This window comes from Homo sapiens, chromosome 11 (genome assembly GCF_000001405.40).
Source record: "Homo sapiens chromosome 11, GRCh38.p14 Primary Assembly".
Classification (NCBI taxonomy): domain Eukaryota; kingdom Metazoa; phylum Chordata; class Mammalia; order Primates; family Hominidae; genus Homo; species Homo sapiens.
Window position 1 is genome coordinate 92,949,457 of NC_000011.10, and position 14,497 is coordinate 92,963,953.

A 14,497-nucleotide genomic window follows, 5' to 3' on the forward strand; every position below is an offset into this window, starting at 1 on the left:
ATTTGATTATGAGGTGAGATGGTCACATGGGGATGAAGTAATTCTTTAACATAACATTTGTATGTAGAAGTACAGTACATTAGTATGTAGAAGTACAGTATACAGAGATAAGAATTTACGATATAGTGTGTGCATCAGTAATTTCTAACAGAGGCTTAAAACAGAAACACAATCTTTCCATAACCTATGATTAGCAAGATATTAATCAGCAGTAACAGTTGCAACAAAAGCTGGTTACAAACAATCCATGGAAACAGGACGTGAAGCTAGACAACCGGTTAGACCAGAAATTCTCAGAAGGGAGTATGCCTTAACCCTCAAGAGGCCTAGAAGAGCCGTGGCAAGATGAGGGCATTTATAGCCCTATCTTATCCCTATGGACAGGCACCCCACCATGCGTCCGTTTATAGGCTCTCCACAAAGGTCGCATTCCATTCCTAGAGCTATGAACATCTGCTTTTCTGGGATAGGAATCTTGGTGATGTGAAACCTCCCTGATTGCACGTCCATTCATAGGCTCTCTGCAGGGGGAAGCACATCACGTGCTGTTGGCTCGTTCTGGCAGTCCAACCTGGCATTGTCTTTACACAATCCTGCATGCAATTTTTTATTTACAATAATCAGGAGCATTTCATCTTTTATTCCATAGAAGTAGTTTCAGGGGGTCTCCCTACATTTAGCAACATGAGAGAATTTACTACTTTTTATATTTTTAAACATGAGTGTGCTATCACTGTTATTATCTAGCAGATAGTGCTAGATACGTGCCAGGCACCATGCCAGGCGCTGGCAAGACAAAGGTGTATAAATAATATTTGCCCTTGAGAATATAGGTAAATGTTTTTTGTTTGTTTTTATTTTTGTTTTAAAACTGGACCCTGCGTTGAGAAGTTCTTGCATCTTAGAGTTGTAGGTATTCATTTTATTGACAGCAATGATCATTTCAGCTGCTCTAAATTCAGGATGTTATCTGATTCGAGCCAAGTTTGTACACACAAAAGCTCTTTTTTTGTTTCTTTCTCCCTCCCTCCCTTCCTTCCTTCCTTCTTTCCTCCCTCCCTCCCTTCCTTCCTCCCTCCCTCTCTCTCACTTTCTCTCTCTTCTTTCTTTCTTTTCTTTCTTTCTTTCTCTTTCTTTCTTTCTCTTTCTTTCTTTCTTTCTTTCTTTCTTTCTTTCTTTCTTTTCCTTCTTTCCTTCCTTCCTTACTTCCTTCCTTCCTTCCTTCCTTCCTTTCTTTCTTTCTCTCTTTCTTTCTTTCAGAACAGGGTCTTGCTCTGTCACCCAAGCTGGAGTGCAGTGGCATGATCATAGCTCACTGTAACCTCAAACTCTTGGGCTCAGGTGTTCCCCCTACCTCAGCTTCCCAAGTAGCTGAGACTATTGGGGCACACCACTATGCCCAGCTAATTGTATTATTATTGTTGTTGTTGTTGTAGAGATGGAGGTCTTGCTATGTTGCCCAGGCTGAGGAGCTCTTTTCGTAGTAATCATTGCCTCCCTCTTGGTGCCATAATGTAATGTCAGCATGGTGAGTTCTAAACAATATGTTGAAGGCATCATAATGGAACAGATTCACTGAAAAATCTCAGATGTGTTTCATGAACTTCATTTGACTCAAGGGCAATTTATTAAAATGTGCAGAATCTGGAGGAAAGAGAACTGGGATGAGAGTCAGGAGACAGATGTTTAAGACTTGTCTGTGCCTTTGACTGAATGATTTGGGCTAATCACTTGGATTTTCTGTCCTTCAGGAGGATCAATAAAAATGGAGAGACAGGCTGGGCATGGTGGCTCATGCCTGTAATCCCAGCACTTTGCATGGCCAGTGTGGAAGTATTGCTTGAGGCCAGGAGCTCAAGACCAGCCTGGGAAACATAGGGAGATCCTGTCTCAGGAATAGATAAAATAAAATATATAAATGGAGAAACATGCCAACATGGTTTTTGTGAATATTACATACGATAATACAGGTGAAAATGCTTTGAAAAAAAATTTCTTCCTCATATACATGGTGGTGATCTTGCAATATTTATGGAGAACAAATTATAATTTATCTTCTTTTATGCTGGCAACAGTTTCCTGTGTTCTGAAAACCTTCCCATGGGTATTTTACAGAAAAGCACCAGCAGCCAATAAAATGTTCCAGATTGAGCAATAAGCTTATAACATTGATAAAAGTAAATGAAATGCCTCTTGTCCATCTCTTCACTGTAGAGTCATGCAGGGCACAGCATGCTCACTTGCTTTACAGGTGTCAAATTGAAAGGAATAAGCTGAAGCAAATTTAATATAAGTAGAGAGCGTATTTGAGCCAAGCTTGAGGATTGCAGCTCAGGAACATAGATTCAAGTTGCTCTGAAATACACTTCAATCAGCAGCAGTTACATGTGGATAAGCTGTTAATTGTCTATACATTGTTCTTTGTATCACAAATTCCAAGAATATGAAGATAATGGGTAAGACAGCTAGTCAGGAACAAAATGAGTTGAAACAATTGTCCCCAGGTATATGTGCTGGGGGCATGACTGAAGTCCCATACTCATGCCTGTCTGCACCTGAAAAATTTTGCAAACCTCACATAGCTCAGATTTCTCTGAGCCATTTCTCTCTTCTCACAGGTCCTTCCTCCTCTCCCCATTTCCAACTTTTCCTCTGTCCTCCTCCCCTTCTTCGCCTGAAGAAGAGGGGAAGTATAATTCGTTATAAAACAGATAATGCTTAAAGATAGAAAGGAAATAGCAAAAAAAGACACTGCCATACTATGTTGTTTAAACTAAAAATTGATATAGTCCTTTAAGAGCACCAAATGGCTGTATGTATCAAAATTTAAATGTTTATATTCTTTGACCAACCCACCCCATGAGCAAAGTCCACTTCCAGGAATTATTTCTACAGAAATTACTAACATATATGTGTATTATACATAAAGATAGATGATCAACACAATGCTGTTTGAAATATTGCAAAATAGCAAAGAATATAAATACCATGGGGTGTTTATTATGGTACACTAATACTATGCAGCCTTCAAAAGAATTCAGTATATATATATATACTGGCATGGGAAGAAGTCTAAGACATTATAAGCCAGAAAACAAGCTTACTCACTCATTTTACTCACTGAACATAGAAGTCAATATTTATTGGTTTATGATATATCAAGCACTGGCACAGGTGCAAGGAATATAGCAGTGAACAATTCAGGCAAAATTCCTGCCCTTATTCTAGAATGCCCTGCATTCTAATTGAAGATTAATGTTTAAAGTATAAATCATTGAGGTTAAAAAGAACAATATACATATATATTTATAAATGTATAGGAAATGATTTGAATGATATAAGGATGAATCCAACTAGGAGTCCCTGTTTTTTCTGGGCTTTCAGTGAGAAGGAAGGATGCTCTTTGTGAGAGCAAAAGCATGAGCTCAGAGACAGGGACATGGGGGTAGACGGGCACAGCCTGTGTGACCAGATCACAGGGAAATATGGTAAAAGTGTGGATCAGGCAGCTATGGACTGGTAGAAAGAGTATTGGATGATTAGCTTTCTCTTTATATACGGGTGACCCGTGAATAATATGGGAGTCGGGTACTGACCCCTATACAGTTGAAAATGTGTGTGTAACTTTTGACTTTTCAAAAATTTAATGACTAGTAGCCTACTGTTGACTGGAAGCCTCGCTGATACCAAAAACAGCTGATGAACACATATGTTGTATGCTATATGTATTACATGCTATATTCTTACAATAAAGTGAGCTAGAGAAAATAAAATGTTATTAAGAAAATCATAAAGAAGAGAAGCTGGGGGCACTGGCTCACGTCTCTAATTGCAGCACTTTGGGAAACCAAGGTGGGAGGATCACTTAAAGCCAGGAGTTAGAGACCAGCCTGGGCAACACAGGGAGACCCCATATCTACCAAAGAGAGAAAATATATTTACTATTCATTAAGTGGATATGGATCATCATAAAGGTCTTCATCCTCATTGCCTTCAGCTTGAGTAGCTGAGGAGGAGGAGGAAGAGGAGCAGTTGGTCTTGCCGTCTCAGGAGTGGCAGAGGCAGAAAGGAGTGGAGGTGGAGGGAGAGACAGGAGAGGCAGACACACTCACCATAACTTTTATTGAAAAAATCCACATATAAGTGGACCTGTGCAGTTCAAACCTGTGTTGCTCAAAGATCCATTGTACAAATACTATGTTATCATTGAAAAGATCCAATAATCCACAAAGAACTCTACAACCTCACAGCCCCATCTTATGTTAGGGTGGCATGTGCTCCAAATGTCTTGAAGAATAATGAATCTTTGGGGCCCCGAACTTAGATGCTTCCTGGAGCCAGGCGGGAATGATGCACAAGTGAATCAGCTTAGGCAGGGCTGCAGGCATAGGCCTTCCTCAGAGGGCAGCTGCCATGCCGCCCAGCCAATGGTGGCCATGCTGGGAGAGAGGCCATGGCTATCAGAGCTTCTGATGTTTAAAGAGGAGCCACATAGACTGTGGACATTTGTAAATGTTGCCTCAAAACTTTGTTTCATGCTATGTGGATCCAAAGATCACAGGTGCCAGCAGCACCTGGCCCACAGGCCTCCAGTTTGTGACCCATTAGTCTTTACTGCAGATAAAAAGAGCCCTGAGGGAATGAACACAGCAAGCTTTCCTACAGGCCTCCAGAAGTGGCTCCCGGCTGAGCGGTGCACACCCGACCACTGCTAAAATCTCTCCCTCCCAGTCTCCTGGCCCTGCCAGACCACCCGCAGGGAAGTATACTTTACCACCTACCCTGGCAGCTTTGCTGAAAGAAACAGCCCTCCTGGGAGTCAAGTGAATTCTCAAGTGAAATTCTCTACCTCATAGTTTTTAAATAATACAGAAGAATCCAGAAAAGATGCGAATAATCTAATTCACTCTGTTTGCTCCCACCCCACCCACCTCCAACCAAGTCCCTTTCCCTTTCATTAACTCCTCATTCTTAAAAATATATTTTTAATTGATATATAATAGTTGTACATATTTTGGGGGATACACATGATATTTTAATACCGGTATACAATGTGTAATGATTAAATCAGAGTAATTGGGATATCCGTCACCTCAAATAATTATCTTCTCCTTTTCATTTCCTTTTACTTTTTCTTCCTTTCTTATTTATTTATTTATTTTTTAGACAAGGTCTCACTATGTTGCCCAGGCTGAAGTGCAGTGACTATTCACAGGCGTGATCATGGTGCATTATAGCCTCAAACTCCTAATTTCAAGTGATCCTTCTGCCTCAGCCTCCAAAGTAAGAACTACAGGCACAGTCACTATGCCTGAAACATTTATCTTTTCTTTGTGTTGGGAACATTATAATTCTTCTCTTCTAGTTATTTTGAAATATACAATAAATTATTGTTAACCATCATTTCCTTATCAAATGCTAGAACTTATTCCTTCTATCTGACTGTACTTTTATACCCCTTAACCAGTTTCTTTTCATTCTTCCTTCTTTCTTTCCGGCCTCTGGTAATCACCATTCTACTCTCTACCTCCAGGAGTCCACACTTTTAGTTCCAACATATGAGTGAGAAAATGCAATATTTGTCTTTCTATGCTTGAATTACTTCACTTAACATGATGTCCTCCAGTTCCATCCATGTTGCTGCAAATGAAAGGATTTCATTCTTTTTTATGGCTGAAGAGGATTGTATCAAGCTGAAAAACTTATGTACAGCAAAGGAAACAATAAGTGAAGAGACAGCCTACAGAATGGAAGAAAATATTTGCAAACTCTTCATCTGGCAAGGGATTAATTACCAGAATTTACAAGGAGCTCAAACACCTCAATAGCAAAAACTCAAAAACAAGAACAAAACAAAATGAACAAAAACTGAAACAAGCCCAATTTTAAAATGGGCAAAAGATTTGAGTAGACATTTCTCAAAAGAAGACCTAGAAATGTCCAAGAAGTATATGAAACAATGCTCGACATTAGTAATCAGTGGTGTTGGGCATTGTTGAGCATCAGGGAAATGCAAATCAAAACCACAATGAGATATCATCTCACCCCAGTTAGAATGGCTATTATAAAAAAAGACCAAAAATAACAAATGTTAACATGGATATGGAGAAAGGGGAATGCTTATATACTGTTGGTGAGAATGTGAAGTAGTATAGCCACTATGGAAAACAGTATGGAAGTTCCTCAAAAAACTGCAAATAGAGCTACCATATGATGCAGCAATTTGATTGCTGGGTATCTATCTAAAAAAAAAGGAAATCAGTATATGGAAGAGAGATCTGCCCTCCTATATTGGTTGCAGCACTATTTACAATAGCCAAGATATGGAATCAACCTAAGTGTCCATCAACAGATGAATGAATAAAGAAAATTTGTATATAACTTCTTGTCTTAAGAGCACTGAATTCTGGCCTAAGCTCTATCACTTACCAGCTTTTTAATTTGGAGTTTTTGAGTTTCAGTTTCTTTGGCATAAAATGGGGAAATAAACCTCTGCCTCAAAGGGCCATAGAGATTATATCAAATGACATATGTGAGAGAGCTTTGCCATCTATAAGACATTATGAAATTATAAAATATGCCTATTACTCACATGGGGTCAGACTGAGGAACCAGTAAAAGTTTTCAAGCAGGTTTCAGCATGCTTTGGAAAGTCCCTGGTAGAATTTACAGTATGCTGTTGGGAGGAGAAGGCTGGCAGCAGAGAAAGCAGTCAGGGACTGTTGCAACAGTAGAGGTGAGAGGTGATAAAAGGCATTGATATTGGGGAGGGCTAGAGGTACCACTGTGAGAGAGGATGTGGAGAAGGGGGCAGCAGTTATGGCTCTGAAGGTGTAGTTCGAATGACCGGGATGATAACAAGGCCATTAACCAAAATGGGCAATTTAGCTATTTTATAATGTTTATGGAGTACTGATTATTCCTAGTAGCTGGTTTGGGGACTGGGAATAATCAGGCACTCAATGACCACTACACATTAAGTTCCCTGTTCTCATGGGGTTACATTCTGGAGGGGCATTGTGGATCTTTGCCTGCTGCTAAAATGAGATGTTTACAGTCCAATACAAGGATGAGTTGAGTCTGCATGATCTAAAATGTGTGTCAGAGCCTTGATATGTCTAGGATAGGCATCTGGAAATGTTGTAAGGATATTTTTCTTTCTTACTTTTTTATTATGAAAAATTTCAAACACATGCAAAAGTGGAACGATTAGTAAAATGAATGCCCACGCATGAATCACCCACCTTTAGTAATTACTAACTTATAGCCAATTCACCAACACGCCTACCCATTTTCATTCCCCATTGCCCTGCCCTGATTTATTCTGAAGCCGATCTCAGACATCATATCATTTTATCTATAAGTATTAAATATCTTAGCATGTATCTCTGAAAGATCAAGACTTTTTAGATACATAACCGCCATACCATTGGTCACACCTAAAAAATTAACAATACTTTTCTTTTTCTTTTCTTTTTTTTTTTTTTTGGTAGAGACCAGGTCTTGCTCTGTCACCCAGACTGGAATATAGTGGCTCAATCATAGCTCACTGCATTATCAAACTCCTGGGTTCAAGTGGTCCTCCTGCCTCAGCCTCCTGAGTAACTAAAATTACAGGTGTGCACCACCACCTGGCTATTTTTTTTATGTTTTTTTTGTAGAGATGGGGTCTTGCTATATTGCCCAGGCTGGTCTTGAACTCCTGTCCTCAAGTGATCCTCCCGTCAGCCTCCCAAAGTGCTGAGATTACAGGTGTGAGCCACCATGCCTGGCCAATAATAATTCTTTCATCTTTTTGTTGACCAAACCTAACTACTCTGAGGTTTCTGGTATTAATCTTTAAAGAGTTTAGGTATACAACTATAGCTTATAGGAATCCTCTCAACAAAGGAGAGGATCAACCCAGAACAATGTATCTGCAAGTATGTGTGCTGTTTGTACCTTGTTATAAGGGGGAACAAACAAAAAACAAGTAAAGAAATAAGTGAAGTAGATAAATGCAGTTAATACTAACTGCCAGAAGGAAAATGAAGCAGGGTGGCATGACAATGCTTAGGGTGGTGGGGGTATTATAATTCCTCTGGCCGTAACTTCATTTCTTAGGAAGGAGACAGTCAGGGCTGAGCAGGGAAGTGGATCATTTCAGAGAGGAGAGGCAACAGAAACAAAGATCCTGTTTCAGGAGGCCGGTGAGCTGGAATAAAGGGAGAAGACGGAACACTGGCAGAAGAGAAGGGCAGATCGTGCAGCCATGGGAAGGAGCCTGGAGTTTTTCTTCTAAGTGTGAAGGAAACCACTGGAGGATTCTGAGCAAAGGAGTTGTCTGGCTTATACTTTTAAAAAATATCCCTGTTGGCCTGGTGCAGTGGCTCACACCTGTAATCCCAGCACTTTGGGAGGCCGAGGGGCAGATCACCTGAGGTCAGGAGTTTGAGACCAGCCTGGCCAGCATAGTGGAACCCTGTCTCTACTAAAACTACAAAAATTAGCCTGGTGTGGTGGCGTTTACCTGTAATCCCAGCTACTCAGGAGGCTGAGGCAGGAAAATCGCTTGAACTTGGAAGGCGGAGGCTGCAGTGAGCAGAGGTTGCACCACTACACTCCAGACTGGGCAACAGAGCAAGACTCCATCAAAAAAAAAAAAAAAGCCCTGTGTTCTGCATGAAAAAGAGGTTGGAGGCAGGCAAGGCAGGAGGAAGGAGACTAATCAGAGGCTCTTGCAGTTGTCATCTTACACCCTATAGGAGAGTTGCAGCAAAATGGGAAGAAGTTGATGAATATGGGAATATTTAGAAGGAAATGAAAGAGCACCTGCAGGTTTGGGGATGGCTATGGTAAATTCATTTTTATAGCATAAGAATGAGGTACTGGTGGACTGGTTTGAGGTGTGGTGTGAGGCCATTTGACAGTGTCCACAAAAAAAGCTAGGTTGGTCCTGCTCTGTGAGCAGCATGCTGTACATTCAGGGGCCTGATCTGCAGCAGGCTGCCACTTCTGTGAGCCCACACCAATAGCACATGCCAGGCAATAATGCTGCAATGATGCCTATCCATGCCCCACTGTTTTCATAGAGGGGAGAGCCCTGCCTGCCAAGAAAAATATGCCATAGATACTGCCGGGGGGAAACAAATCCTCCTTGTGAGTGTTCAACTGGGGGAAATAAATCTTTTTAAAATTTTCTGTAGAGACAGGGTCTCCCTGTGTTGTCCAGGCTGGTCTCAAACTCCTAGCTTCAAGTGATACTTCTGTCTTGGCCTCCCAAAGACTTGGGATTTACAAGCGTGAGCCACTGTGCCCAGCTGGGAAATAAGTCTTCTTTATGAGTCTTCCAGATTTAGGATTAAATGGGCAGGACTTGAAGTGGGAAACCTGGAGGCAGATTTCGCCCCAGCTTCTTCCTTCCAAAGTCCCGATTCACTCAGAGTCTCCCTCGGTGCTGAGGAGGCAAGCAAGGAGAAAGAGCTGTGAGAGGGGACAGAGTGATGGAAGGTGATTCAGAGAGTTTTCACTCAGTGGGAAAACATTTTCATTCATTCAAAAAGCATTTTTAAGCACTTGGTGCATGTGTGGTACTACGGCAGGTGCTAATGAGATTAGAAAAGTCAAAAGAAGGTACAGCCCATCTTCAAACTGTTTTGGTCTAATTGAGGAAGAGAATATACATTAATTAGAGGCCAGGAGGGAGCCAACAATGGTAGAGAATAAAGGTGAAGTAGCCTATAGAAAGAGGCAGGTATAAATAAGAAATGAAGTTTCATCGACCCTAACTTTACCCCTTCATCTTAGCCTCAGAATTATCTTTCTCCAGGAAGCATCAGTTTTGCTGGGAAAGAAGCTATATAGTTGTTTTTTTTTGTTTGTTTGTTTTTTTTTTTTTTTTTGGACTAGTGACAATTTCCTTTTCTTTTTATTTTAATGTAAGTCCTGGGATACACGTGCAGCTATATAGTTTTAACTCCCACATTTTCTACAGCAAAACGTCTAGACAGATGGTGTGACAATGAATTCCCTTCTCCCTCATTCTTAAAATTATTTATATGAAAAGACTGACAAAGACATAAGAGTTAGATCACATTTGATTATCCAATTAGCCTATTGTGTGTTATTTTTTAACAATTTTTGTAGAGACAGGATTTCACCATGTTGCCCAGGCTGGTCTCAAATTCCTGGCCTCAAGTGATCTCCTGCCTCGGTCTCTCAAAATGCTGGGATTACAGGTGTGAGTCACTGTGCCTGGTCATCCAATTGTCTCCATTGAAAAAGGTGCTGTTAGGAATACTGGAAAATCTGCCGCAGATGTTCTCTATTCACTGTTCTCACAGAGCAGTGAATTCACTGCTCTGTCAATGCTGTTCCTTTTCCTGGACCTGATTGCCAAAACCTGACCTCTTCTCTTTGAGAAAGGAGACCCAAACTCAGTGATTTAATAGATTATAAATCAATTTGGGGCTACAGAACTGTGAATTATTCATTTCTAACACAGACTTGGCATATAACAAACTAGCTACTGAGAGTCTTCTGCCATGATTTATTGATAGAGCCCTGCTAAGATAGATAATTTTGAAATATTTCCCTTGTTTTCATGGTCACTGATGTTTCAAAAGATTTGGGACTAAGTAGGGCAAAAGGACACTGAGGTTTTCCAGGCATTGAGAAAGGGCTACTTTTCCCCAGGCCACAGCAAGGAAGAGGAAAGGAGAGGAGAGGCAAGCAGTAGAGCAAACAAACAGTGAAGCTTTCTGATTTTTTTTTTTTCCATTCATTCCAGTTCATCAGGAATTGTAGGATACCTGCCAAATATCCAGCAGCACCAGCACCATGGGAAGTACAAAAGAAGCACTCAGTAAAATGGGCTCTCGCATGCCAATGCGTACAGGGACCTGGCGGGTAAGACCAACGAACCAGTGGGTAGGAACAAGAAGCATGGAACACTCTAGGTCTCTTATTTACCTATGTTTAAAATATTTAAACTTTTCTATTTACTGTAAGGAAATAATGTAAGCATGATGATAGATAGCAATTGATTCTACTTCGTTATCAAGAACACAGTGGGGAGTGGTGGGTACTACGATGTCCTGCAGAACCAGGACCCCATCTAAGGTGGGTGGGACTGGCATCCTTTATTAGGTTCTGGCTATAGTCAGGATAGGCATACCAGATCTTCAATTTTTCAAGAGAAGCCAGACATCAATATTTTTATTTTTATGAGATCTTTATATTTCCAATTGTTGGCATCTAATGAAAATATTTAGACATTACCATAGCAGCCATAATTCTGTGGTCAAACAGAATTGGCATAATTCCCTGAAGAAATGGACACTGACCTTATGTAAGTTGCCATCTGCCTGAATGTATAAGACATACATACTAACTTGAGTACAAAATGAAAATATATCTGGCATGTACTTAATATATGTTCAACCTCTTCCTCTTTTTCCCATTATAAAACAGTATTTGTGTGATAGAAAACAAAAGTCAGCAATAGGCATTTCATATCTTTCCTACTTCTTTCTAAGAAGGGTCAATTTCCTTCCTCCAGTTGGGGAAGAAGAGAGACCAAGAAAATCAGCATCAAGCATTCGTTTTGCCAACAAGGTTGATGGGTAAGGAGGTCAGTAGAGGGCTACATTTCTCTACTCAAAGATGGACTCACAGACAAACAGTCTGGAGAGGAAGAGAAAGACTGGGGCAAAGGGGAGAAAAAGCAGAAGATAGAGATTCAGGGCAGGTGCTGATGGGCTAGGAACTTTAGGAAAAGAGAGAGGAAAGTTTAAAGGGGGGGTCCTTAAAATATTTTGCCATGTGATATATACATGACACTCTGCCCTGTATACCCAAGACATTTAAAATAAAATCCACAGTGCTCTTTAATGCATCCATAGTCATATTTGCATTTGCTTTAAGGTGAGAATGAGACAGCCAGGTGGGCTACCTGAGACTGTGCCCCAGTGAGTGGTCATGGCTAAGGAGGATAAAGGAGTGCTGACTGCACTTAACCAACTGAAAACCAAGGAACCCAAGGTCTGACAACAGAATAAGACATCTGACCATAAAGAGATTCCATGCAAAATCCTGGTCCTAGAGCTGGATATTGTAGCAAGAAGAGAAAGCTCATTGAGAGGCGAGGGCGGAGCATGGGCAGAGGTGAGGGTGTGCTTGGTGTATCCTAGCCTGGCAGGTATATGGAGCCACTGTGGTGAGCAGAGGTTTTATGTTCAGAATATGGCTCCTTTTCATGTTAGAAGGGGGATCCTCTGATATCCTCAACTGTAGCTTAGCTTTCAGTTCTGGTCAAATATATAAGCTTGCTTCTCCACCCTCAGTGTGTCAAAGCCCTGCAGGGAAGACCCACAACATCATGTTCTTAGAGACCAGACTGTCAGACATAGCAGCACCAGGTTTTGAATTTTAGAAATAATTTTTATGTGTGTGATGGGCATTTGTAGTTACACTGGCTATGCATGGGCTTTTTCAGGCCTGTGGAACGTGGGTCCAAGACACTGAATTCAGGAGCTAGCTAGTACTGCCGAGGCAGTTTCATGTGTGAGCTGGACACACAGCAAACTGTCAGTTGAGGTTGATCTGAAGGAGATTTGTTCTTTTATTTTTCTGAGACAGTCTTGCTCTGTTGCCTAGACTGCAGTGCAATGGCACAATCTAGGCTCACTGCAACCTCCGCCTCCCAGGTTCAAGTGATTCTCCTGACTCAGCCTCCCAAGTAACTAGGATTACAGGCGTGCACCACCACATCCAAAAAATACAATTTTTTTGTAGAGAAAGGGTTTTGCCACATTGTCCAGGCTCGTCTCGAACTCCTGGCCTCAAATGATCCACCTGCCTCAGCCTCTCAAAGTGCTGGGATTACAAGTGTGAGTCACTGTGCCTGGCCGATGGAGATATGTTCTAACGAAGGGTGGGCCACTTAGCTCAGTGTGTTCGCAAGAGTAAGAGAGAACAGAGGTGGATTAGAGGGGTTGGCAAGCCTGGTTCCAGCTCTGGCTTCCACAGAGGCTATAGAGCCCTTGGCAGGGCAATTAACCTCCAGGGACCTCAGTGTAAAATGAGAACATTTCTATATTAGCTCTTTGAGAAATCTCTATACTATTTTCCATAGTGACTGTGAGAAATCTCTATGCTATTTTCCATAGTGACTGTACTAATGAATATACCTATCAACAGTGTGTGAATTCTGTTTTTTCTGAGTCCTCACCAACATTTTTTTTTTTTAGTCTTTTAAATAATAGTTACCGTAACTGGGGTAAGATGATATCTCATTGTGGTTTTGATTTGCATTTCCCTGATGATAAGTGATGTTGAACACTTTTTCTTTTATTTTTGTGGTACTTTGTTATGTCAGAACATTTTTTCATATACTTTACTTGTTGGCCATTGGTATGTTTTTTTTTTTTTTTTGAGAAATATCTATGTATGATTCAGAAATCTCACTACTGGTATTTATCCAAAAGAAAGGAAATCAATATATCAAAGGGATACCTGCATGCTCATGTTTATTGCAGCTGTATTCACAATTGCAAAGATATGGACTCAACCTAAGTGTTCATCACTGGATGAATGGATAAAGAAAATGTGGTATATACACACAATGGAATATTATTCATCCATATAAAAGAATAAAATCCTGTCATTTGCAGCAACATGGATGGCACTGGAGGTTATTATGCTAAGTGAAATAAACCAGGGACAGAAAGACAAATATTGCATGTTCTTACTCATATGTGGGAGCTAAAAGAGTTGATTTCATGCAGCTAGAAAATAGGATGATAGATACCAGAGGCTAGACTCTGGGAAGGGTGTGTGTGTTTGTGTGTGTGTGTGGCGGGTGGTGGTATAGAGGTTGGTTAATGGGTACAAATATACAGTTGGATAGAAGGTGTAACTTCTAATGTTTAATAGCAAAGTAGAGTGACTATAGTTTATCAACAACGTGTAGTGTATTTCAAAATCAGCTACAATAGAAGATTTGAAATGTTCTCAGCATATAGAAATGATAAATACTAGAGGTGATGCATATCTTGAATATCCTGACTTGATCATTACACATTCTATGCATGTAACAAACTATCACATGTACCATGTACTGTGTAAATATGTTCAAATATTTGTGAACCAAAAAATTTTTAATGAAAACATTCTGGTTCTGCACTTGAGGATTAAATAAGACACAAATCTGAAAGTTCTGGAAAATGTAACAGTAATAGCTAATGTTTACCAGTGCTAATTATGAGCCAGGCATCTCATTTATTCCTCATAACATCCTTGTGATGTAGGTATACTTATCCCAATTTTTACAGATGTCCAAACTGAGGTACAGAGAGGTTATACAGCTCATCCAGGGTCACAGCTAGATCTGGACTTAACTTCCTTTGGTATAATACAAAAATATATTTGGTCTTTGTCCCAGGTTCCTGACCCAGAGCTCCTAAAACCCTTGGAATTTCCCGAGTAATAGGTATGTCTTTTGTTATTCATAAGGAGG